This window comes from Homo sapiens, chromosome X (assembly GCF_000001405.40).
Source record: "Homo sapiens chromosome X, GRCh38.p14 Primary Assembly".
NCBI classification, from domain to species: domain Eukaryota; kingdom Metazoa; phylum Chordata; class Mammalia; order Primates; family Hominidae; genus Homo; species Homo sapiens.
In genome coordinates this window covers 107,825,834-107,851,571 of record NC_000023.11, presented here as the reverse complement: position 1 = coordinate 107,851,571, position 25,738 = coordinate 107,825,834, and the positions used below count along the sequence as shown (strand labels likewise).

Genomic DNA, 25,738 nt, shown 5'->3' with positions numbered 1-25,738 from the left:
AATGTGGGGCAGACTGAAATAGGAAAGCCCAGGGCAGGGGATGGGGGAAGGACACTGGTTAGAAGAAGGCTGCACTATTCAAGGCCGTAGGGTAATGCAAGTCTGGGCCAAACTGAGGATAATTGAAAGAAATGTGTTTCAGGAAAGGATTTGTCACTGTCAAATATGCGGAGAATGCAAGAAATATGAGGATTGATAAAAGGCAGCTGGATTTGGTAATTAGAGGTCACAGATGACCTTTTGAAAAGGTGTTTCAGTAGGGTTTTGGAAGAATTTGTGAAATCCTGAGGTTAGAGTATGGTGTAGTGACAAAGTAGAGGCTGCAAGTCTAGACTCCTCTTCAAAAATTTGGCCATAAGGTGAATATAATAACTCTGTAGTGTGATGAAAGGGTCTAGCTTGAGTTAGGCAGTGGGAATTGGTAGTGAATCCAGTTGATAATTTTCTCTAGCAGTGGCCCAAATTCCTATCAATGGAAATTCCATGTATCACAAATGAATATATTGATATATTAGGCGAATATATTGATATATTAGGCAAATATAATGTAGATTGATGAACGCCAAGCAAATACAATATTAGAAATTTGTGTTTCCAACTGTAATGCATTTCCATTCAAACATGGGATTCCATGAGAATAATGTTTTTAACAAGTACCTCAACCTGTTGCAACACTGATCACAAAACTGATATCTCATAAATAATTCACAGTACAGAGCAGGACATAGCAAAATCTCTGCTATGTGTTCCTCTTTTGTGGCCCAGAACTGAGACTCATGGCTTCTATAAAGCCACTGAAAACAAAAATTAGGGCTGAACACATAATTTGAGGTCTAGTTAGACTATGCGCCTTGAGTTACCATCACAAAATTATGGCAAATGGTTAGTTTGCCCCTAGCAATTTGCAGAATGCCAGCACATGTTAACAACACAGAGCTAGATCTGACAAGATGACTCTAATTTCAACCTTACTTCATTAATATGAAAATGCTTTGAAAAATAAATCTTTGGCTAATGAAAACACCATCTGTTGATGGCTTTTTGCCACTGTTTTCTTACAATATGAGACATAATTTGAGGAAAACACCGAACATTTACTTACTCATTTCCTATTCATTTACAAGGAATTAAAGCCTCCTCTCAAATTGGAATTTATTCTCAATAATGAACATATGCAAAGGGAAACAGAGAATTGAAGCGATTATGCAATCTAAGGAAGTCACTCTTCCTTATCATGCCTAGCACTGACGAGTCATTTAGAACAAAAAATTCTGGGCCACTCTAGGTTTGAATAATTTGATTGATTTGGCCAAGTAATTATCTTGTCTGTACTCTGGCTGAGTAAACAAAGAGGGTGTGTGTGTGTGTGTGTGTGTGTGTGTCTGTGTGTGTGTGGATGTGTGTGTCTAAAATCTCTATATAAAAGTAAACATGTCTCTTCGTTGTTGTTCAGTTTTGAAATATTGGTGTGTTTTGCTCTGCTCCTGTGCAATGTAGTTAATGACTGGGCCAGGTTCCTTATGTTCAAGCCCGGTTAGTGCAACTTTCTCAGGACAGTTAAACCGTGACAGCAAGAGAGCCAAAGTGGCAGGGGAGATTGGAATGGAGATATCTGCTGGTAGGAAACAGGACAGGAGGTTGGCAGCCAGGGGGCAGGATGAAGCTCCCATTTCCTGCTGCAAGAGGTTACCTCTGGGTCTTTGTGTGCTTCCCTTTTATGGATGTTACAGAAGCCATTTTAGTTTATGAAACTGTGATACCTTCTTCACCTCCAGATGACTACATTATGCTAGCTCACACAAAATTGTACATGTGTCTAAACAGCACAAAGTAAGGGAAAGATTTGGCTGATTTGCATAACAGATTTTAAAAGGCCTCAGTTAGCTAAATTGGCAGTCTACACTGATTCCATTTTTACCCAAGTTTTATTGTGTTGTATAGATTAGGCCTCTTTGTGCTCTCTTATTCCCTTCCCAAAGAGGAAAATGTTTTGCCATCTGAGAAAGCTGGGCACAGGCTATTCTTCTTCCAGACAGCATCCCATTAACAGAAATGGCTTCTTCAACCCTCAAATAATTGCTGGTTTTTTTTTTTCACTTCTCTAGACACAGATTATTTCAGGTAACTTTCTCATTGACTCTCTCAAGAAAACTAGGCGTACATCAAGACACCACCTCTTTATTAAAGCGAGGTAGATTACCCCATTATGGCACAAACTGGACCATGATCTCCATTTGTCATACTCCATGAAGGCATATGTATTCGCACATATATGAGCACTCCTACACACATCAACCTGACACAGTAAGTACTGAAGCCTAAAAGGGGGTGTAATCTGTATTAGTTCTATTGAAACATATCATTTCCACTGAAACATGGCACTGTCATAGAATGTCTGTATTCTCTCTTGCTGTCTAAAAGGTACAAGGGGAATATTATCTAAACCTAGACAAGATCCTGACTGCTTTTATGTGGGAATTGAACCTTGGGGTGAGCATAGGAAGGGGAGAAGTGAAATAGGGCAGAAAGGCCAATTCATCCCAAACCTGAGTCTTCCTGATTGACAGAAGACAACTTCATCTTTAAAAATAATCTGAGCCAGTGGCCCCATTACTATTCTTTGACATGCTCTTTTTTGACATCCTGTCTATGCACCGACATTTTCAGCTCTTCCAAAAGCCAGAAGCCAGAATCTTCACATGCTTTTAGGGTCACAGTCTGCTTTCTTTTTTTAACTGCTTGTCTTAAAATACTTACTTTGCTTTTGCTTCAGTCTGTCACTTTATGTATCAATTACATATGGCCTCTCAACAACAGAACATGCCATCTGGTTCACAAACTGAAGCCCACACCCTTATGCCAGAATTTATTCTTTCCCCAAACATTTATTTGCTGTTGTATAGACACAGGCTACGTCCCAGAATGAGATGAAGGTGATACACTGGATGTATATCATATAGGTCTACTCTACTTCAGGTTTGTTAAAGAATAACCTGACCCTCAAGCCAGGTGAAAGACTTGCCATCTTTTCAAAAGGCTCTGTGATCATCCAGCTGAGACCCACACCTCCCCCACTCTCCTTATCAGAAATGCTGCCCAAACCTTCCCATATTCTTTTCTTTCCCCCATCTTCAGGTGCATAGCATGATTACATCTCTAGCTCAAATGGATACATTATTATTTGGACATTCTAAAAGTAAACCTGTACTAAAAACTTAAATCTAGTGTTTATTTTGATAACCCTCAGACTAGTGAGCCAAAGCCAACTCTACTTTCCTGGAGGACTCAGGGTTGTATTCCACTTGCACTATTCCTCTTCACTTCCTGCCTCTCATACACATCCCCCTCTTTCTCTTTCAACTTCTATTCCTTCATGCCTAATTTCTAGACCACGAGTGTTCTGCAAGGCTCAATCCTTGGCCTTTGCTCAGCTCACTACTGCATGGCTCTACCACCACGCTGAGGACTCCCAAGTCTATTTCTCCAGACCCAATCTTTCAGCCACTGGTAAAGCCTAAATTTTAACCCTTTCTAGGACACTTGCCCTTTCAGTTCTGAGAAACCCCCATGCTCTCTGTCCTCCAGATGTTTCAACAAACTCTTTTCTCCTGACTAGAGCACTCCCCTTCCCTGCCTCAACTCCTGTCCCCTAACAGGGCATTCAAAAACTCACCCAAATTCTATCTTGCTATTCCTCCTATGTTCTGTAACAGCCCCTGTTCTTCCACTGTCATTGCACTTACCACACCATCTCATAACTGTGTCCTTAATTATCTGCCTCCCCACACTAACCTGAGAGCTCCATCAGGGTTGAGGCTGTGCTTTCTTAATCACTGTAACCCTAATACCTATCCGGGTGCTTGCCACCTAATAGATGTTCAAGAAATGTTTGATGAATGAATGATTGTTAAATGACCCACAATCACATCAGACTCAAATCTAAAGTCAAAGCATCCCCAAAAAACTGCCACCCCTTCCTAATTTCATTTTTGTCCTCCTCAATACCACCATCCTTCAAGACATCTCCACCTCAAAAGTCCTTTTTAATTCATTCTCTTCATGGTGTATAATCATCATAGTCATTCACCAAGTTTTGTCAATTCTTTCCGCATGGACTCTCTCCGGTTTGGTCCTTCTTCTCCAATAAATTCACTCATGATTCCCTGTTTTTGAACTCAATGATATCCTTTCCCTGACCCCTCCACTGTGCTTCAGAGCATCCTGTGCAAACCTCTGTCATGGCACTTACCATACTGAATTGGAATTTCCCACTTGTCTATCTCCCCTACTAAGTTCAAAGTCCCTTTAGGACTGGGATTGTGCCTTATTTCCTGTGTCCCAGCTCCTACCACAGTGGTCAAAGTGTTTAGTAAACAAAGTGAATGTTCATTAATTGTTTGTTAAATGAATGAATGAATCCCTAGCCTAAATCCCTGATGCTACGGTTTAAGTTATTGTCAGTTCTAGCTTCATGTGAGACAAAGAATAAGGCATTACCTCATTATATCAACCTTTCATGAACTTGAAGGCCATTATCACATTTTTCCCTTTAAACCTCACTTCTTTGTGTTCAGTAATTCTTGTTTCCTTGATCTTTCCTCACCTATATTATATTTCTGTAATATGTTTCTTTGCCCAACAATAACAGACAGGATTTCTATCCACCCAAGAACAATCTCTGTGTCAACATTTTGTAAATTGTTCTCAAACAAACGATTGTTAGCTCCTTTCAAATATTGGTGAAGAGAAAACTTGAGCCAAAAGAAATAACAGAAAAACAGAAAGATAAGGGTACAGATAATAGGAGTATCTACTTGCTAAACTTGCTCTCAAACCAAAGAAACAATGGAAAACATCTTCCAAAACAGGGTCCTGTTAATAATAAATGAGTTCAGAGACAGAGAAATCAATATAAGTCTTGCAGAGAAAAGAATAGGGGTTCAAATGAGTCTTAGTGCACAGTTTGGGTAGAGATGAAATGAAATGTGTTTTATCCTCATACACACATGAAATATGTACAGATTTACACATATTGTATGTGATGGGGAGCAAGTCTGGAACAGTTAAGAGACCACAGAGAAGGCAGATCTACAAGCAAGAATGATTTTATGAGCATTGAGTTGAAGGCTGGTTTAGCTGAGAAACCTGTCAGATACTGTCCCCAACCCCACACACACATGTTCACCACCATTACCACCAGACCTTAAAGAGCATAAATCTGGTCTCAAATGTTTTGTTCTTATTATATTTAGCTACTGTGATTTAGTACCTGACTGAGAGTGAGAAACAACATTTTTCTTTTCCCTCACCTATGGTAACCCACCCTGGCCTCCATTGAAGATTTTTCTTATCATGCATATGTTTGATCTGGCTCATTTATTAGATTGATCCTTAGCCTCAGGATGGGTTCTGCTGAGGCTCTAACACTCCCTAGGGTGACAACAGAAAGCTTACCTTACACTCATGGCCCCCTCCTACCCAAATTATCAGAAGATTTACACACTCTCACATCTTCACATACAATGATACACATTTTATAGATATACTTTCATACACAGACACAGAGTCATTCTCAGCCACATATTTATGCAGGAATATACACACTCATATACAGTGATGCATACATGTGTATGCAAATATACTCTCAACCTAGTCTCTCATAAATATACTTCACTTTCTTTCCCTTATATTTATACTTACACTGGTTGAGAAAGTCATATGCCCATTAGTACATTAGTTGAGAGGGTATCTGTCTTGGCAGACAGTAGTGGGTGTCAAGTGGGTGAGTAGATAAATGACTGGGAGAAGGTGGTGACTGAGTGAGAATGGGTGGGTGGATGACAGAGTGACTGAATAGGAAGAAGGACAAGTAATCAACTGTGATAAGATTCTAGAGCACTATATTTTCCAACCTTTTAACTCTCATTGTGGCGTTCCTTTGAACATCCTCCAAGTCTCATATCTCCCTTCTCATTGTCTGGCAATCATTAGCTTTCTCTGTCCCAGTCTTGCTGAGAGAGAGAGAGAGAGAGAGAGAGAGAGAGAGTGTGTGTGTGTGTGTGTGTGTGTGTGTGTGTGTTACTTTCCCATGATAAAAGGCTTACTCCAGTGCTGGGTAATATTTTATAACAAGATCCCTGATATGTAAATGTAACTGCATTTAAGAATTATTTGTAGTAATGAATTTGTGGAAATGTAATGAGAAAAAGAAAATGTGCTTGTTTATTCCTTTCAGGAAATTCCTCTATTCCCCCTGGTTTTCATCAGCTATATTTTTGGCAGGCTGTGGGCATGGAAATGTGAAGACATCACTCTCAAAGAGAATTATAATAATCACATCTGATTTATACAGATGTCACCATAGGGGTAGGCAGTTGGAAAATCCAGTGATCAAAATGAATAGGCAATTAAAATTAAGGACATGCCATACTTTTGCTAGCACTCTGGTTTTGAACATTGTCAGTAGTTCACAGGAGATCTTTTTTCAGACTTTCAGGGTATATATAATGGCAAGACAGATTTATATCTTCTTAGATGAGATCCAAAGCAAGCTATAGGCACTGGTATATTTCCTGCAAATCCATTATGAAGACTGAATTCATTTGGATTTCTTGAGAAAATACTATGTGTACTAGAAACTAAGGAGAATACTAAAGAAATACAAGACATTATTTCTGACCTGAAGGAGATTATGACGTAGCTGTGATGTTTTGGAGTGGTCTTATGGGGTTTGAATTATGCATTAAAGAATACGTAGGATTTGTAAACAGGCCAAGAGAAGAACACTAGTGACAGTTAAGAATCAGAAAAGAGAATGGTATATTTTGCAGACAGGAGGCTCACTGGGGTAGATGAAGGTAGCATGTTTTAGAGGAGTAGAGGGGAAAATACATGGGCAGCACAAGAAAAAAGTTGTATGGGACTTATAATATTGAGTTGAAGTCTATCAGCAATAGACAGTCACCGAAATTTGGCCTCTTTTATGAAGCCAAAATTTATTAAAACGATAACAACAATCTTTTATAAGGATGGAAACTCATGTGATAATGAAAATTCTAAAATATGAAGCCGTTTTATAGAAATGCCCCATATATCATGAACTAAGATATATATTGGGACTAGTGAGTGAAAAGTGAGAGGTGATGGAGAAAATAATTACTCTGATAGGACTTACTGCTCTAATAACTGTCGTGAATAAAAATATTATTTAAAATTGAATAATTAATTGAACTACTGGTAGCCTGCTGAAAGACATGTGTCCTGCGTCTCAACCCTATTGGTAGACTGGACAACTAAATAAGATCATGAAACTAAACTAAGTACCCCAAGCCCTCTAATCCACTTTGAGAACATGTTAAAAAGACAGGCTAGTTTCTGGTTATTCTGACTTTTCATCTATAACATAATGGTTTATTTATTCTTTATTGAACAAATAAATATTAGAAGCCACTAATCCTAATCAGGGAGGTTCGTATATAAAAAGTAGTTACAAATGTCAACAGTGAAGTTCCAGAACCAAAAAGTAAAAATAAACCCTGTTATCAGATACTGGCTAAAAAGCCAACCTCCTAGATACAGGGGAAGAATGATAGTATGGGGAAGAATGATAGGGTATAGTATATATCTCCTACAGGACTCCTGTGCTTCTCTCAGGGCCAGGGCCAGGGGAATATACTCAGGCAGACTCTCCCATAGCTCCTGCCAGCCAACTTTCTCCCTTTCTCCTTGGGGAAGAATCAAGCAGACTAAGGGGGTAATCCTAAATGATTTTCCAATTTAAAATTAACCCAAAGAAGTGAGTATATGTGACACTAAAAGTCAGACTTTCTCTCTGCTTAACATGGAGAATTAATATTCTTTTACACTTGGCACCAAACCAAAGTGACCCCTCCACCCCCGCAACACACACACAACCAGTACCTCTCTCACCTCCCCAAAGTCCAAGATGTTTCAGACAACATAACGAACCACACAGTTGGGAATGATTCATTTTCCACTCTCCATCCAAAAATGAGTAAAAATAGTTTCCACTTAATTTATAATCAGAATTTTCTGCACATTTCCTAAAATATGAAAGGGGAACTATTCAAAATCTGGCTTTCTTTCTCCAAAAATTACCGATTAGTCACAGACTAAAATATATCTTGGTAAAATATGTCCATGTTCCATCCATCCCTGGAGATGAGGGCTATAGCTTCATGATGCCAAATATCTAATCAATCATCATGTTTTCGGATGTTTTCAAATAGCTAGTTTTCTGTAATACAAGCTTACACTAGCCAGTCTTTTTGTTATCTCAACAGTGCATATGGACACAGATTTTTCTGTTTGGAATATTTCTCAAGGCCAATGACTTATTATAGTCCCAACACCTGCAAATATTTGGCAGAGATTGTTCTGTCCTCTTCACATCCCCCACTCTTCCTATAACCCCGCTCCTATCTTTTGCCATTATACAGCTGTAAGTTTATACAATCTGTCCCTTCCTTGATGTCATTAATCATTTATCTATGACCACGAAATGTACAGTTGTGGGAGCATAAAGTTAAGTTTCAAATCACATTTCATGGGGAAAACTTAGATCCAAAACAAAGTGGCAGCCGGCTACAGTACAAAGGATAGTTACTCAATCTAGAGGCTAAGTCCCAGTTCTAGCTTTCCCATTACTAATCATTTCTTTGATTTTGACCAAGTCACTTCATCTATCAAGGTCTGTTTATACAACTTTAAAGTAGAGCGCTTCGACTAGACCAAGTCAAAGGCCTAATATCTTATGAGTCTAAGAACTGAAGTTAACAAGATTATTTCCCTCTGCAGCCTTGATATGAATGAGAGTATCAACTTGAGTGAAATAAAAAAATTGAATTTGCTACACATTTATACATATCAGGTATAAATAATAACCAAAAGAGGCACAAACCATAGTCATTGTGACTACTCTCAATATTATTTGCAACAAATTACAGGACAAATATATCCTATTCTGAGTACTGCTACTCTCACCAACATTATACTTTTTACAGAAGTTACAATGAATCATCCACTGCATGGCAGGAGGAAAATCTCCATTCCCTTCTTGCCCTCCTTTTATCCTATCTGGGTCTTTCTTCTAGCTTGGCTTATGTACTCAGGTTCTATTTGGAGTGGTAATTTTACTATCCGTTTAAACATTTTATTTTTCTAGAATATCTGCTAAGTAGCTCCCTTCTTAAGAGAAATTATACAACATAGCAGACAAGCAATGGGAATAAAACAATTCGCTGGATCATCAGTGTAAGGTAGGAGGACTTTTTATGGGCACTTAGACTTGTACATACATATTATATGACACAACAACTTTAGAAAACTCTGTCCATTGAATACACATAAATGACTAGGAACTTGTAAGGCAGGAACTATAAACAAATGCTTCAGTTTGTAGCCCATAATAGTGAGCACTGTCACAAAATTTGATACTGGATAAAATATTTATTGCCTTCAGTTTAAATTGTTCATTCAGATATTTAATTATCCCTCCCAATTTCGTGGTATACTGAAGTTTCTTCAGTTCTTTGTTTTGTTTTGTTTTGTTTTGTTTTTAAAGGCAGGCTTAGAATTAGCCCTATGTTAAAGGCTTAATGGCAATTTGTAATGGCCAATGCCAAACTTTTGTTTCTTTAGTGTATTGAGTACACAAACACAAACATACAATAATGTCCTCCACAAAAATCTCTCACCTACCTAGATACACTCAGCCACCTCCACCCACACCTACACAGAGACACACCCTGCCTTCCCATTGCCATATACCTACATATGCAAATCGACACATATGCTAATTGTAGTACACGTACACAAGTACTCACATACTTAAAAGAAGAGGTGGAAAGATCATAGCAAAGATATATAATAAGCAATATGTCACTGACAGAAGATAGAGGGTGTGTTTCCCTGGATGAACTACTGGTGTTGCAGGCCATGAGCTGACTCCCCAAAAGTTAGCCAGAAGTGTGTGACTGCAAGAATGTTTATGCAACAGATGAGATAGGCTCCAGGAAGAGCTTGCAGGAGAGCAGGTTATTCCTCATGAGAACAACTTAAAGTTAACTCACTTGTCATATAGGAAAAGTCACCTATTTTATTAGAGAACTTGCTAACTGCATTTATGCGACAAAGTTGTATAGGGGATGCTCCCCAGATCCCTTACCTTGAGTTTCTCAAATCGATCATTCAGGGATGCGACCTGATGGTCTCGGTGACGACCCACCAGTTTGCATAAGGCACAGATCAATTGGTCATCAGATACACAGTACATGTTCACTTTCTCATTCTCATGGTCCAGGCAGGTGATCCCTCGAAGATGTGTGTCTGGCACTGGTTCCACCAGGCGGTGGCTGGTGAAAGGTTTCTTGTTGGGGTGCGTGGCCCGCAGGCAACGGTCACAGTAGGAGACCTCACAGGTGATGCATGTTTTTACTGCATCCCTTGGCGGGTCCTGCTCACAGAATTGGCAAGCAATTCGCTCGCTAGACATGGCAGTGGTGGGCCTGTAAGTCCTTTCCCGGCGGCTCTCACTAGGGGAATTGGGCCCACTGACTGAAGCCTTCTGGAAGCGATCAATAATGTTCTGCAGAGTCACATTCCTCTTGAGGCCATCCAGGCCCCGGTGGTTCAGCGAGATAACATACCTGCAGGTAGGACACTGGAAAGCAGTAATGGGTTCAATGGATTCACCAGAGCTGCAGCTTGATACCAAAATGCGATGGGCACAGCTGAAGCAGAGGCTGTGAGCACAAGGGAGCAGAAGGGGGTCTTCAAACAACTCTAGGCAGATTGGACAGGTCAATTCAGACTCCAGTGTTTCCATCTTTAGTGAAAATAGTCCTCCTGAGGCATTAAGAACCACGGAGGCTGGGCTTTCACCTGCAAGGAATACAAAGCAAGAGTCATTAGGCATTTCCAAAGGAAAATGGATATAACACAATTATACACTAACCAATGGGCGCGTTTACGTGCTGGATTCCCCAGAGATGCTTAAGCAATAGAAAAGCAATTTGGGAACTAATCAGGAAGACTTTCTTCCCCTTCAAACCTTGTTTTAGACAAATGCCTATGTTTATTTTCATGCACAAATAGATAAAACCAAATGGCCACCTCTGAATCCTGATAGACTGATTAACATTACCATTCCAGCTCACAATATTTGCATGGATCATTCTCTCACATATTCTCCACTGACATCTCTTTTCCTAGACTAAGATAAGGCTGAGACCCTGCAAAATTCCCAATCTCTATTCTCCAATATTGTTCTCTATTTCACTTCAAGGTAAACTGTAGGGCTGCTTCTATGTGACATCCAGTGTAAGGAAAACAATGCCATATTTTAAAGTAACTCTCTACTTCCTGAAATGATTCCATTCTGAAAGCCTGCATAAAAAAGAGAGAGCTTTAGAAAAATGTAGCCCTTGGTGCAGGATAATAAGTTTTTCCTCAGAGTGTGAACTTGAATTACTTCTTATTATCACACATGGAAATTTCCGTTCCATTCTATTCCTAGTAAACTGAGTTACTTGAGATAAAAGATGATAGTTTTCACTTTCATCTTCTTCCCTCACCTTCAGAAACCCCTTCAGTTCATCAAGCTGAATGGGGAATGATTTCAAACTTTTCAACCTACTCAGCAATAGTTGCTGATCAATAATAAAGTCATATTGCCTTGTGGCTTCAGTTTGGTTTCATTACTAAACACCTGCTGAACTAGCACAAGCCAGCTATGAAGCTCACCTCCCATGTGTCTTTTCATACTTTCTAAAACATAACAGGATGCAAATCAATATCTAGATAGAAATTAGCAAAGTTCCAGAAATTTTAAGATCTGGTAACCTTCAATTTAGTGAGCATCAGTGAGTAAAAGAGGTCACCCGGCCGGGCACAGTGGCTCACGCCTGTAATCCCAGCACTTTGGGAGGCCAAGGTGGGTGGATCACGAGGTTAGGAGGTCCAGACCTTCCTGGCCAATATGGTGAAACCCTGTCTCTACTAAAAATGCAAAAATTAGCTGGGCGTGGTGGCGCTTGCCTGTGGTCCCAGCTACTCGGGAGGCTGAACCAGAAGTATCGCTTGAACCTGGGAGGTGGAGGTTGCAGTAAGCCGAGATCATGCCACTGCACTCTTGCCTGGGTGACAGAGTGAGACTGCCAAAAAAAAAAAAAACAAACAAAACAAACAAAAAAAGCCACCCAACTGACAAGAAACCAACCTCTTGGTAACTCTATCTATTTTTCCACAGGCATTTCTGTGCTGAACACACAGGTACCTAATTCTTAATTGCCTAGAGTCTTCCATTAATTAAAATACACACACATAAATATTCTAAGTTGTCTTTAACTAAGGAAAAATATAAAACATATCTTACTGACTGAAAATGTTAATCCTATGTATAGGAAAGAAAAAGGGCATCTTTCTTGCTTTTTTTTTTAACAAGGTGTCCCTCTGTCATTCAGGGTGGAGTGCAGTGGTACAATCTTGGCTAACTGCAACGTCCACCTCCTGGGCTCAAGCGATCCTCCTGCTTCAGCCTCCTGGGCTCCGCCTCCTGGAACTCCAGGGGTATGCCACCAAGCCCAGCTAATTTTTGTTTATATTTTTTGTAGAGACGTGGTTTTGCCATGTTGCCCAGGCTGATCTTGAACTCCTGGGCTCAAGCAATCTGCCCACCACAGCCTCCCAAAGTGCTGGGATTACAGGAGTGAGCCACAGAGCCAAGCCCAAGAAAAGCATTGTTTGCTTTTGAGTAGCTTTTGTTTATTATCTTGTCATCATTGGAGACTCTCATCAGAGCTTGAAAATTTTGCTCTGCCATTGGTATTTGTTCAGATATTGTCACAGGATACATAAGTACTGAGTACAATTATACTTTATGCCTAAGTACAATAGATGTACACCTAAAAGCTGTTTCTAAATCAAACCTTTTAAATGCACTGAACTAACTACCTATTTAATGAAAATCTATATGAAATGAGGTTATAAAAGTGAAGAATCTTTTTGTAAATCAGTCACTCAGTTGGTTTAGTAGATTCAGATGTTTGTACAGCCAGTTTTTTTAAGTGAGACAAGGTATTTTTCTTTTAGAATTTACAGGTGCTTGAAAGTTGTTGGCCAGTATTTTGTAGCTTATAACATCTATCAACGTTCACCCATACAGATGAAAAAGTAAACAATTAAAATGTACATACATCATTGAATCTTAGAATTGGAAGAGACTTTTGAGAGATGAAGATTCCAACTTCCACTGACAGCAGGAATATTGCCTTAGAGAGCTCCATTTGATATATTACTCAGATTCTCAAACTCAACATGTCTATAAATGAACTTGTTGTGCTCCTCCTCACCTCCACAAAACAAAACAAACAAAAAACACCTGCTCCTCTTCTGATTTTCCCTGTCTGGTGAATATCACCATCCAAGCCTAGAAATCTAAGAGATCTCTCATCTACATGTTTTTATCACCTCAACCACTGGTGGCTTCCAGAACATTCTGTTTTATTTCACTTACATAGCTGTATTTCCAGCTAACTCTTCCTTCTCCTTGAGAGTATCAACTATTTTATATTTTCATTCACAGCACAAGTTTGTGCTTCACACAAACTGTATTCAATAATTGTTAATGAAGTATCACTTAAACTAGGAGTAAGAAGGGGTCTAGCATTCATTGAGCATCTCCTGTATTCTGAGTACTATGTTAAGCACTTTACACATTATTTCACTAATTCTTTCAGGAAACTTGTGAGGAAGTTACTATTACTGTATCCACCTTACAGTTAGGAAACTAGGGCTTAGAATCATTAAATAAATCAACCAAAAACATACATACCCAGAGCACAGGTCAGTATAATTCCAATGCCTGTGCTCTTTTCCCTTACCTTTATTTCAATCATCTCACCTCCTTCACTGAGGTTTATCTGGACCATTTACAAGACAGTTTTTTTTTTTTTTGAATTCTGGAAATCTTTACTTTGGTATATTTAACATAGTTTATAGAGTTTTTTTTTTTTAAACAGCATGTTTCTACGTCTATTTTTATCTCTCTCTGTCTCTCTTACTTTCTCTGAATCTGCCTATTTCATTCTGAGTTCCTTCCAGAATCATATCTCTGTCTTCTAGGCCCATCTCCACCTCACACTGCACTTCTATTACTATCTCTTCTAGAACTGTATGCCTGCATTCCTCAATGTCTGTGTTGGAAGCTACCTGGGTTGGTCACATGTATTGCTGAAAGCCATGTCTATGTATGCTGAAAACTATATAACAACAATTAGAGTACCACAGCTTTCCTAAGGCTTAAGAGGGTGCCATATAAATTGTCCTGTACAGAGGAAAAGCTCTTAAATTTTGTTTGGAAATCTAAAATTTATTTCCAAGTCAGTGTGACACTTGAACCTCATTATGAAATTAAGCTTGGGAAAGCACGCTATGGGTCAGGATTGCTTTGGGTAAGGTCAAAATAGGATTTATTAACCGGGGACTTCTGAACTTCCTAGAACTGTTTGCAGAATGTGTTTGTATGTCATATATGCATTTTTCCTGGGGAAAGGGTTGCCCATAGCTTTCAAAAGATTCTCAAGAGTCTTTGAAAGAAAAAAACCCAATCATTAGTACTCTAAAATAACCTACCTTAACTTATTTCAGCTCTGTAAAGAATATTTTAAGATAGTTACTGCCTCTTGCTTATTTTAGCTTTTCTAGACTGTTTCGAATCTGTTTGATTTTTAATTATCATATATTAACTGTTTTAGCCAATTTTCGGGTACTGAATACTTTTATCAACTTCTTCAGACGTGTTCAATCATCTCTAATTTATGAGGCTTTCTTGTTCTGGGTACTCCTAATATTTTAGAATCCTTTCAATTATCCCCCATTTCCCCTACCTTTCTGGTTATCTAAGCACCTGAACAATACCCTTTATGCGCATTGCCTCATTTACTTTTCACAACAACTCTCTAAAAGGTAGGTATTATCATTATTTAAAAAAAAAAAAAAGTAGGCTGGGCGTGGTGGCTCACGCCTATAATCCCAACACTTTGAGAGGTTGAGGCAGGCGGATCACAAGGTCAGGAGATCGAGACCATCCTGGCCAACATGGTGAAACCCCGTCTCTACTAAAATACAAAAAATTAGCAGGCGTAGTGGCGCATGCCTGTAGTCCCAGCTACTCGGGAGGCTAAGGCAGGGGAATTGCTTGAACCCGGGAGGCGGAGGTTGCTTGAGCCGAGATCGTGTCATTGCACTCCAGCCTGGCAACAGAGCGAGGCTCCGTCTCAAAAAAAAAAAAAGTAACTTGTTCAAGGTCACACTTGTTTCTAAGTGGCAAAACTAAGAATCAAACTTAGGATAAAACTTTAGAAATAAACCTATATATATCTATGGTCAACTGATTTTCAACAAGGGTTCCAAGACCATTCGATGGAGAAAGAATACTCTTTTCAACAAATGGTGCTTGGACAACTGGATATCCACATGCAAGAGGATGAAGTTGGAGTTCTACTTCATATCATTTATAAAAATTAACTCACAACAGATCAATGATCTAAATGTAAGAGCTGAAACTATAAAACTCTTGGAAGGAAAGATAGGCATAAATCTTTGTGAACTTAGGTTAGGCAGGCAACAGTTTCTCAGATGACACCAAAAGCATAAGCAACCAAAGAAAATATACATAAATGGTACTTTATCAAAATTTAAAATTTGAGTGCTGCAAAAAGCACCATCAATGAAGTAAAAAGACAACCCACAGACTAGGCGCAAATATTTGCAAATCATATTATTATATCTGATATAGGTCTAGTCTCTAGAAATGTACTCTTACAACTCAAGATTAAAAAAGATGAGTAACTCAATTTAATAGTAGGCAAAGGATTTCAATAGATTTTTTCCAAAGATATACAAATGGCCAATAATCACATGAAAAGGTGCTCAACATAATTAGCCAGTAGGAAAATGCAAATCAAAACCACATTGAGATACTACTTCACACTAAGAAGGCTAAAATATAATAAAACAAAACAAACAAAAACCGGAAAACAGCACGTCAGCCAGGATTTGGAGAAGTTAGAACCCTCATACATTGCAGGTAGAAATAAAAAATGGTGCAGCTGCTTTTGGGAAATAGTTCGACAGTTCCTCAAAAGGCTAAATGTAGAGTTACCATATAATTCCACTCCTAGGTATATACCCAAAAGAATGGAAAATGTGTTCACTCAAAAACTTGTACACAAATGTTCATAGCAGCAGTCTTCATAGTAGCCAAAAGGGAAAAGCCCAAATGTCCATCAACTGATGAAAGGATAGACACAGTGGAATATTACTTGGCTATAAAAAGGAATGAAGTTCTGATACATACTTCAACATGGATGATCTTTGAAAACAGTAAGTAAAAGAAGCCAGTCACAAAAGGCTCCTTTTGTGTATGATTCCTTTTTTATGAAATATCCAGAATAGGCAAACCCAAAGGAACAGAAAGTAGATTAATGGTTGCCAGGAGCAGGGCAGGGGAGGATGGGGGATGAGGAGTGATTGCTAACAAATATGGAGTTACTTTCTGGGATGATGAAAAGGTTCTAAAATTAGATAGTGACGATGATTGCACAACTTTGTGAAGATACCAAAAACCACTGAATTGTATACTTTAAAATAGTGAATATTATGGCATGTGAATTACATCTAATTTTTTTAAAGAAGAGATTCAATCCCAGGTCTGTCTGACTCCAGGGTGTAAACAGCAAATCACTATACTATACTAACAACTGTGTGATTATATAGTATTTATAAATTCTATTGGATTGCTTGTTCCTTTCAATTGTTTTTCTAGGTCAATGATTCCCTGTCTAGGTTTTGCAATACCCTGGGATATCTCTAGTGATCAATGAGTGTTACAAAATTCTCAGCTCCCAATTTTTATTCACTTTAAAAAGTATATAAGTGACTCCTGAAAAATATTTGACTCCTATTATCATGAAATACTTTTAGCAGGAGGAAGTGGCATGACAAAAATTAAACAATGGCAAACTGTTGCAATTTCAAAAAGTTTGTGAATCACTAATCTATACAGAGTTAGAGAGTATGCTAAGGATGAAGACAGGATGTGAATCTGATAGGGTGCAACTCAATGACAGGTAATCTTGAAAGTTTTTACAATTTGTCATAAAAACGCATTGATGAAATACCTGAGAGGGCACGATCAATTGCCATATTAAGAAACAAATGTCCACATCCACACACCCTGATTAGTTCCCTTCCAAACCATTTAGTTACTGCCATATATAGTCAGATATGTATGTTTGTTTCTGTATGGCTTTTCTTTACCTTGTGCCTTACTACAGGGTGAGACCTCTGAAAAAAGAAGTCGATGAGCATAAACTAGAAGAAGGTACCATTGGGCTGTATAACTGGGTAGAAATACAAAAGGAGTTTTGATGAAGGTGATTAAGATAAAAAATAATGGGTCTGGCGTGGTGACTCACACCTGTAGTCCCAGCACTTTGGGAGGCAGAGGCAGGCAGATTGCTTGAGCCTAGGAATTCGAGACCAGCCAGGGCAACATGGCAAGACCCCATATCTACAAAATATACAAAAATTAGTGGGGTGTGGTGGCATGCACCTGTAGTCCCAGCTACTTGAGAGGCTGAGGTGGGAAAATCGCTTGAGTCCAGCAGGTCGAAGCTGCAGTAAGCCGTAATTGTGCCACTGTATTCCATCCTGGGTGACAGCATGAGACTTTGTCTCAAAATAAATAAAAATAAAAAATAAATTTCAAAAACGTAAAAATAATGCATCCTACACTTATGAAATAAAAGACTGATTTCAGCATTGTCCTCCAAATCTAGCCTTTAGCTAACTCTGATCAAGAGAGAAGTCGTGATCTGTACTTTGCATAATTCTATTATTTCAAAGGTTACTTGAGCATAATTAAATGCCCACTTAATTAACAATTATTATTCCATCTAATTTTTTTTCTTCCGGGTCTGCAAAGCATGTATCTGAGCTCCCACTACCTTCCTGAGGAGTTATAGTATTCCCTTCATAGAAAATCCATGAGTGTGAAACCAAGCCTGATCTCTGGGCTGTAGATTGAGAAATGAGCTGAGCTGTAGGTTTTTAAAAAAAATATATATATATATATATAAAATAAACATTCTTCAGGATATTAAAATTAATGTCCCATGAGTTCTTCCTTAAAGTATTAGAAACTGTCTCCCTGCCTTGGGGTAAGGAGCAAATGAGTCCTGGCCTAGTCTGATGTTTCCTCAACTGTAAAATGTTCAAGCTAAACTAGAATCACCAGACGATCTCTTTAAGATGCTTTCCAGCTCTGACATCCGATTATTATAGAGCTCTTGCTATCTGTTACCACATAAAAAGACAGCTTGGATTATTGTAAACTAGCTCCTAAAAACACAACTTTTATTTATTAGTGTGACTAGGAAGGCTAACAAGTGATAGACATCACAGCCACTGGAGCAGGACATAAACAAAATGCATTACTAAGATGCTCAAAGTACAGTGGTTTTTGTCTGTTGTATCTCAAAAAAGACATAATGGATGTTCCAGAGGACAACTAAAGGGGAGAAGAGTCCCATGGGAATATAAACTAATGAGAATATATTTGGGGGCTGTAAAAGAAACCAAAATCCAAATTCTAGAACACCATGATTAGAAAAGAACCCCTTGAAGCTCAAAGCAGATCATTTTGGAACACAAAAGGCAACCAATGCATCGAATTCACACACTATAGGATAAGAACTGAAAATAGAAACCTAGACAGAAGAGGCTAGGTGGTCAGTAATAATAATTGATAATAGCCACCTTACATTTGTATATCAATTTATACTTTTCAAATTATTTCAAAGCCATTATCTCATTTGACCCTCATAATACAGCCTGGTTGTAGTCCTGGATCTAAACCAAATTAGCCGAGCAATCCTAGGTACATTTAAACTCTTTGGGCCACAGCTTTTTCATCTATCAGATGAAAAATACCTGCCCTGCCCATCTCACGGGCTATTGTGAGGATCAGACGAGGATAAAATAAAAGTATTAGTTTACTTTACAAATACAGGTATTCTCATCATACATTCATAGATTATAGAAACAAAGCAAGTTATTAAGAAAAGCCAAAAATGTTTGGAAATTCATCCCAAACACATGGTTGACATAATGGCAGACAATCACACTCCTCCACAAGACTTCTGGAAGATCATGGGACTGATCATGGTATTTGTTATGCTCATGTCTTCACTTTTAGACTGGGATCCCCACCCCTCTCCAAGTGAAGGGCTGTCTCTTTTCTTTTCTCTTAAACTTTCATCCTGCACAGGGAGAACTCAGAACTGGAGGCTGATTACCGACTGGCAGAGAGCACCAGTGCCAGCTCCTGTCTAATAGGTTATTAAAGCCTACTTAATATTTTATAGTACATGGAATTAATGTATGTTCTTTTCAATAATTAGTTTTTAAATCCAAACATTGAGTATTTTATACAAGATAGTCATCATATAAACATTAAAATGAGTATCAAAATAGCAGAACTAGAAGTCCTAAATCTGCTACAAACCCAAAAGGTTAATCCAAGTAACCAACAAATGGATTTGCCAAGGTAACACATGATAATTGACAGGAATCCTAAATACAATTCATAACACCTTTATCTTAATGCAGATTACACTGGCAGTTGCAGGGTTGAGGAACAAATGGAAAACAAACTTAATTTACCTATGACTACTGGTACAGCTTTCCATCTCCTCTAGGATTGCTTTTCCTAACCTCTGTTACCCAACAAAATATTTGTAAGTTTTTAAATGTTCAGTGGTTCACCTGGACAGGCAGTCATCTACACAATAAAAATGGCAATATATGTATGTAAGACATGTTATTGAATGTTAGGCTGAGAGGACCCCAAGTTCAGGTCAGAAACAAGGGACAGAGAACAGAGGCCTATTTGAAATCAAGCTTCTACTTCCCTGGGAACCACATGGATCCTAGCAACACTGAACAAAGGGCTATACACAAAGTGATCAAGGATCTGGATCGTAAACCATTTTTCTATCTCTGTGCTGTATATATTAAGACACTTCACTGTCATGAATTAGCATTGTCTGCCATGCCCATACATTATGCTCCTATCCAGGCAAATTGCAAATACTGGGATTTCATGTTTCAGGACGATTTCAGATTGTATGATGGGTTTGTTATCAGATTGTTCGGTCTCAGTAAGACGATGATCCAGAGACTGGGGATGCCGTTCATCAACCAGCGGAGTCTGACCTACGGGAAGGAAGCTGAGACAAAGCCCAAGGTCAGGCAGCCAGAGCTCTGCAGGGAGGCCAGAACCCAAGTAGGATAATGCTTACAAATGATACTTTGCCAACCCACTTAGGCTGAACCAGCATCCTAGAGTGTATTCAGGTGAATCCCACAAGGAAAAGGAAATAATGGGATGCTGGCACATTACTCAAAATCCCTCCACCACCCACACTTTAAGCATCTTATACTATCTAGTAGTCTTAGTAATTTATAGAATTTCTAAAAGAAAACTCAGCATCTGGGAGATTCATCATCAAAAGGATTATATCTGCCTATGGTCATAAAGAAGGGGAAGACAGAAAGAGAGAAACAAATAGAAACAGCCACAGACTACTTAAGCCCACAGAAAACTCTTAGCAGAGTTTTAATACATGAAAGTGGAGAAAGGAACATATTTAATATATTGAGGAGGTAAATAAAAAGTAGATTAGCTATCTGTACAAGAAGATAATTACAGCTGGAATTTCTTGTCTCAACACCACTCATCTGGTCTTCTCACTTGCTAGCATGACCCAACACACCAGTTGAGAAACACTTTTCTAGTCTCTTCTGTACACTGCTTAGTGATGAACACAATATTTTTTGAGAGACCTGAAGTACAGATGTTAGTGCAACACCATCTTGGTACCAAAATTTCATTTATCAAAATGTAAACAATTTTGAATTATCCAAAACTGTTGTATATCCAGTATCAACATGTTACATCTCATATTTTGATGATGCAATGTTCTAAGTCAAGACACCCAGCTTAATGAGTAAGGAGTGCTTCATGAACACAGAGCTTCATTCTCGCTTTTGTGCCAAAGAGAGGACAAAAACTTAATGCTAAATGGAAATGGAGCACCCCCTGGCCTCTACTAGCAGCCGAGCCCCATGGCCTAACAGCAAGGATATTACCAAGATTCATAAAGATTGAATGGCAGACACACACAAGACCAAGCAGGTATTTCCAAGAGCAGCCATTTGAGACATATTCTGTGCCCACAGCCCTGTCTTCACCCTTTTAAGGGCTCTGTGTCCCTGTCTGAAAAGACAGAGCTTGAGTTCTATGGGATAGAATGAGAAGACAACATTCTCTCCTCTTCACCAAGCCAATGAGGTTTGCTGAATGATGAAGACAGACATACTCCTTGTGTAGTTCCCTTGTCAATTATTGTGGTGTCAGCAGATTTTATGGGAGGAGGGATGAAGGAATGGACAGGCTCACTACTCAGAGCAATATTTGGATGCAATTGTGAGACTCCACTGGCACCACTTTAGGATCTGCGAGTTGAAGCAAGTTTCCCTGCTCTTAGGGAAGGGATTAACTAAATCAGTTTTATCTAAATCAATTTGCACCATTCAGATGATATGTTCATAAAGCAATCAAGTCACTCTGATTTACAGGAGTACTTCCCAGAGGTGGCCTTGCAGGGTGCAACATGCCAGACGAGAATTCTAGTAGTCATGAAAACAAATAAGAGGGACACAACCACCCTTTCATGTCCCTAGCCTCTACCCATGTCCTGCACAGCCCCTCCCTGACCTAATCCTGGAGTTGCAAGTATGGAGTTTGGCGTGGAACAAGCAGGAGGCCAAAATACTGGGCTAAATCTGGGGCCTCAGCCCAATCAGCAGAGGTCCTCTGCACATTATAGGTGCTTAATATTGTTGACTCTGCTACTAGGTGCTAATCATGCTTATATAGCCATACCCCAAATTATTTATGACACTTTTCATTAGAAGCTAACAAACTGCCCCCATATAGGCTAAAAAATGGGTGAGGTTATGTCTTCAAATTAGTCTGACTCAGATTGTTAGGTTAGAGTGCATTAGAAATGATTCAAGCCTCAACTTAAATTGATCATTATTACTCTGTATGCCTAGTTGCATGTATGTTTTCATTCAGTTGAACATGTATTGGAGAAAAACCAGATTTAGGACCTACGTACAATGATACGATTTGGCTCTGGGGGTGGGAAGCTAAAGGTTTTCAGTAAGCTAAGATTCCTGCTTACACCCAGTCAATCCACTAACTCAGTAAAAGGTAAAGGAAGTGCTTTCTTTGAAAAGTATAATGTTGGCTGGGTGTGGTGGCTCACACCTGTAATCCCAACACTTGGACTTGGCAGGTGGATCCCTTAAGCTCAGGAGTTTGAGACCAGACTGGGAAACATGGTGAATCCTGTCTCTACAAAATATTCAAAAATTAGCCGGGTGTGATGGTGTGTGCCTATAGTCCCAGCTACTAAGGAAGCTGAGATGGGAGGATTGCTTGAGCCAGAGAGGTCAAGACTGCAGCAAGCCATGATCACACCACTGCACTCCAGCCTGGGTGACAGAGCGAGACTTCGTCTCAAAGGAAAAAAAAAGTATAATGCTGAGGGTTTACAGAACCCTTTCATCTTCAAAGGACCAAGTCAAGACTAACAATACCCAGTACACAATATTATAGCTTTTACACAAGTGCACCAACTATGAAAGAAAAGTCATAGGAATGTCCTAAAGCCATAAGCCAATGTATCATCATATTTGGGATGAACTCTGATCTTCTTGACTCCTGGACCTGTGTTTTAACCACTACATTAGCTATTCTTGCATTGCCTTAAAGAAATACCTGAAACTGGGTAATTTATAAATAAAAGAGGTAGGCTGGGCATTGTCGCTCTCGCCTGTAATCCCAGCACTTGGCGAGGCCCTCAGACAGCTTGACCTCAGGAGTTCCAGACCAACCTGGGCAACATGGCAAAACGCCATCTCTACAAAAAATACAAAAATTAGCTGGGTGTGGTGGCATGCACCTGTGTTCCCAACTACTTGAGATGCTGAGGGAGAAGGATTGCTTAAGCCCGAGAGGTGGAGGCTGCAGTGAGCTGTGAATGTGACACTGCACTCCAGCCTGGGTAACAAAGCAAGACCCTGTCTCAAAAAAAAAAAAAAAAAAAGAAAAGAAAGAAAGAAAAGAAAAGAAAAGAGGTTTAATTGGGTCATGGTTCTGCAGGCTGTACAGGAAGTGTGATGCCAGCATCTGCTTCTAGGGAGGACTCAGGAAGCTTACAATCATGGAGGGAGGCGAATGGGGAGCAGGAGATTCTCACACGGTGTGAGCAGAAGCAAGGGAGAAAGAGAGCTGGGGGGAAGTGCCACACACTTTTAAACGACCAGATCTCAGGAGAGATTACTCACTATCACAAGGACTCACAGTCAACCAAGGTGATGGTGCTAAACCATTCATGAGAAATCTGTTCCCATGACGCAGTCACCTCCCATCAGGCCCCACCTCCAACACTGGGGATTACATTTGTACATAAGATTTGGGCAGGGATAAATATCCAAACTATAACAAACACATAAATCAAGTTGTGAGGAGCAACCAGGAAAAATCTAATTCACATTACATATCCATGTTAAGTTCATTGATTGGGCAAGAATATATAAAAATAGCAAAGACAGTTTCTCCCTCAGTACAGTCATGAGAGGAGACAGACAGGGGGATGTGAGGGTCGGGGGTGGGCAGGGGGAAGCTAACCATCTGGGGTACAATGAAACCACTCCCCAAACAGAAGAAAAGTAGGGGAGGAGAACTCCCTATTCAGCAACTCCCTTCTATTGGAATATTGCCAGAGAACTGATTAGAGTACTGGGACGGAGCAGAATGGGGTTAAAGGCAGCCCTTCTGGCCCAACTTGAGAATCAGAGGGATCAACCCACACACAGTACTTCTCTATTTAGTTTCCAATATATTCCTTTATAAGGGCTCATCCTCAGAGACACACAACCATCACCATCTATCCGCCCCACACTCAGAAATCCTCAAAAAGGCAAAGTGGTTGAGAAGTAAGATGCTGCATGGCTGGGAGGCTGGGAGTGCACACGTTGATGGGGAAAGGCTGGGGTCCAAGGGGCTCTGCTGGGGGATTTGGGTAGGCAAGTAAGCGTTGTGACATAGGAAGGTGAGTGATCCTGAAAACGGGTAGGGGACCGTGGAAGAGAGAAAGTAAAGAGTACAACGACTGCAGGATTTCAATTTCCTGCTCTAAGAAGAAACACCTCTGAAAAATAATGTGCAACACACGAAGTGCTAAGTAACCTAAACCTTATCATCACCAGTAATGTTTCTGTAAATCTACTCCGCCGTTATTTACTTAATTCTTACAAGGCAGGAATGGAAAATCCCCACTCTCCCTGGTTGCGTCGCAGTCTGTCCTGTGGACATATGTAAGTTTTCCCTCTCCCCCACAGAGCTGATTTCACAGCTAGGCCAGAAATAAGGAACCATCCAGACGGAGACTCGAGGATCGCTCCCTGGCAGAAAAGGGATTAAGTTTCACCGGGCCTCCCCGCCGGCAGGGCGTCCGCAGCCACGCCGGCTGCTGCGACAGCACCGCCCGGCAGACGGCCGGCCAAGGGGCGACGCCTGGGCCGAGGAGGCTGCCGGCTGCGGGAGCGTGGGAAGGCGGCCGTGCCCTTTCCCAGACTCGCGCCCAGGCGCCGGGGGATTCGCTCGACTGCCCGCGCCGGGCCCGGCCAGGCTGCGCAGAGGCCTCGGCCGCCCCCGCCCCGCACCCCGGAGTGCAAACTCCGTCCCAGGAGGGCAGTGGCAGGAACCCGGGCCCCAACAGCATGACTGAGAGCCGGAGCTGAGCTGGGGCCCCCGTCGCCGTTTCGAGCCTCGCGGGCCCCATCACCCTGCCTCGCCGAGCCGGAGAGCCCTCGGCCAACGCCGGGCCCCGGCGGCACCTGAAAAGCGGCCGGAGCCGGAGACTAGCCCTGCGAGGGCTACGACGCTCGACCTCCAGGGCCGCGGCGAGGGGGCGCGTTTTACCCATAGCGTTCCCAGGTGCCAGCCATCTCCTCCGCTCGCTCGAGGGCGCTGGGCTCTCGTCTGCCTCCGCAGCGGGTTGGCTCGGGCTCCGGCGCGAGCTCCCGGGCCCCGGTCGCCGCCGCCGCCGCTACCACTGTAGGCCGCCGCCCGCCTTCGCCGCCGCTGCCGCTACCGTCGCCGACGCCGCGCAGCAGCCGGGATCCGCCAGCCCGCGCGCCCCGCAGGGGACAGCACGGCGGCCGCGATGCTACCGCAGCTGGGCCTCCCGAGCTAAACTTAAGAGTTTTCGCCCCTCAGTCCAGGGGCAGCACCATGACACCACGGCAGCACCACACTGTCATTTCCGCCGCCGCAGAGGAAAAAAAAGGCAATCCCTTCCAAAAGGGAGGCGGAGTGGGGGCAAACGGGGCTGGGGCTGACACCCCAAGGGAGCACTGGGAAGGGCCCAAGAAGAAGGGGTGCTCGGCCACCTTCCCAGGCTCACCTTCCGCCGCCCCCGCCACTCCCAGCTCCCCCAGCCCTTCCTCTGGAGGCACGTTTACATGTCTTCTCCCCTGGCAGGAGTGACCGGAGAAACCTGAGCAAGCAAAGGCAGCC

General features: G+C 40.9%; 1 protein-coding gene across 4 annotated transcripts in view, besides 3 other annotated features; it reads right to left on the bottom strand.

Moving 5' to 3' along the window:
- The window catches only part of MID2 (midline 2), a 105,903-nt gene that overhangs the window by 80,066 nt on the left and 99 nt on the right, over nt 1-25,738 (bottom strand). For 2 of the 4 annotated variants that reach the window (NM_012216.4, NM_052817.3), the window contains exons 1-2: nt 25,142-25,706; nt 10,187-10,902 (exon numbers count right to left, since the gene is read on the bottom strand). In NM_012216.4, the coding sequence (NP_036348.2) occupies nt 10,187-10,902; nt 25,142-25,145 (720 nt within the window). In that variant the 5' untranslated portion in view covers nt 25,146-25,706. Of the gene's footprint in view, nt 1-10,186; nt 10,903-25,141; nt 25,707-25,738 lie in introns of those variants that run through there. The other 2 variants (NM_001382751.1, NM_001382752.1) reach the window with 1 other exon arrangement.
- Nucleotides 8,219-8,513: a silencer, noted in NCBI's record as "tiled region #15158; HepG2 Repressive non-DNase unmatched - State 24:Quies, and K562 Repressive non-DNase unmatched - State 24:Quies". NCBI's record gives its function as "represses a minimal TATA promoter and a strong SV40 promoter by Sharpr-MPRA in HepG2 and K562 cells {active_cell/tissue: HepG2 | K562}" and the evidence as "EXISTENCE:reporter gene assay evidence [ECO:0000049][PMID:27701403]".
- Nucleotides 24,889-24,938: a silencer, noted in NCBI's record as "silent region_20934". NCBI's record gives its function as "represses an Ori minimal core promoter by ATAC-STARR-seq in GM12878 lymphoblastoid cells {active_cell/tissue: GM12878}" and the evidence as "EXISTENCE:reporter gene assay evidence [ECO:0000049][PMID:35858748]".
- Nucleotides 25,099-25,288: a silencer, noted in NCBI's record as "silent region_20933". NCBI's record gives its function as "represses an Ori minimal core promoter by ATAC-STARR-seq in GM12878 lymphoblastoid cells {active_cell/tissue: GM12878}" and the evidence as "EXISTENCE:reporter gene assay evidence [ECO:0000049][PMID:35858748]".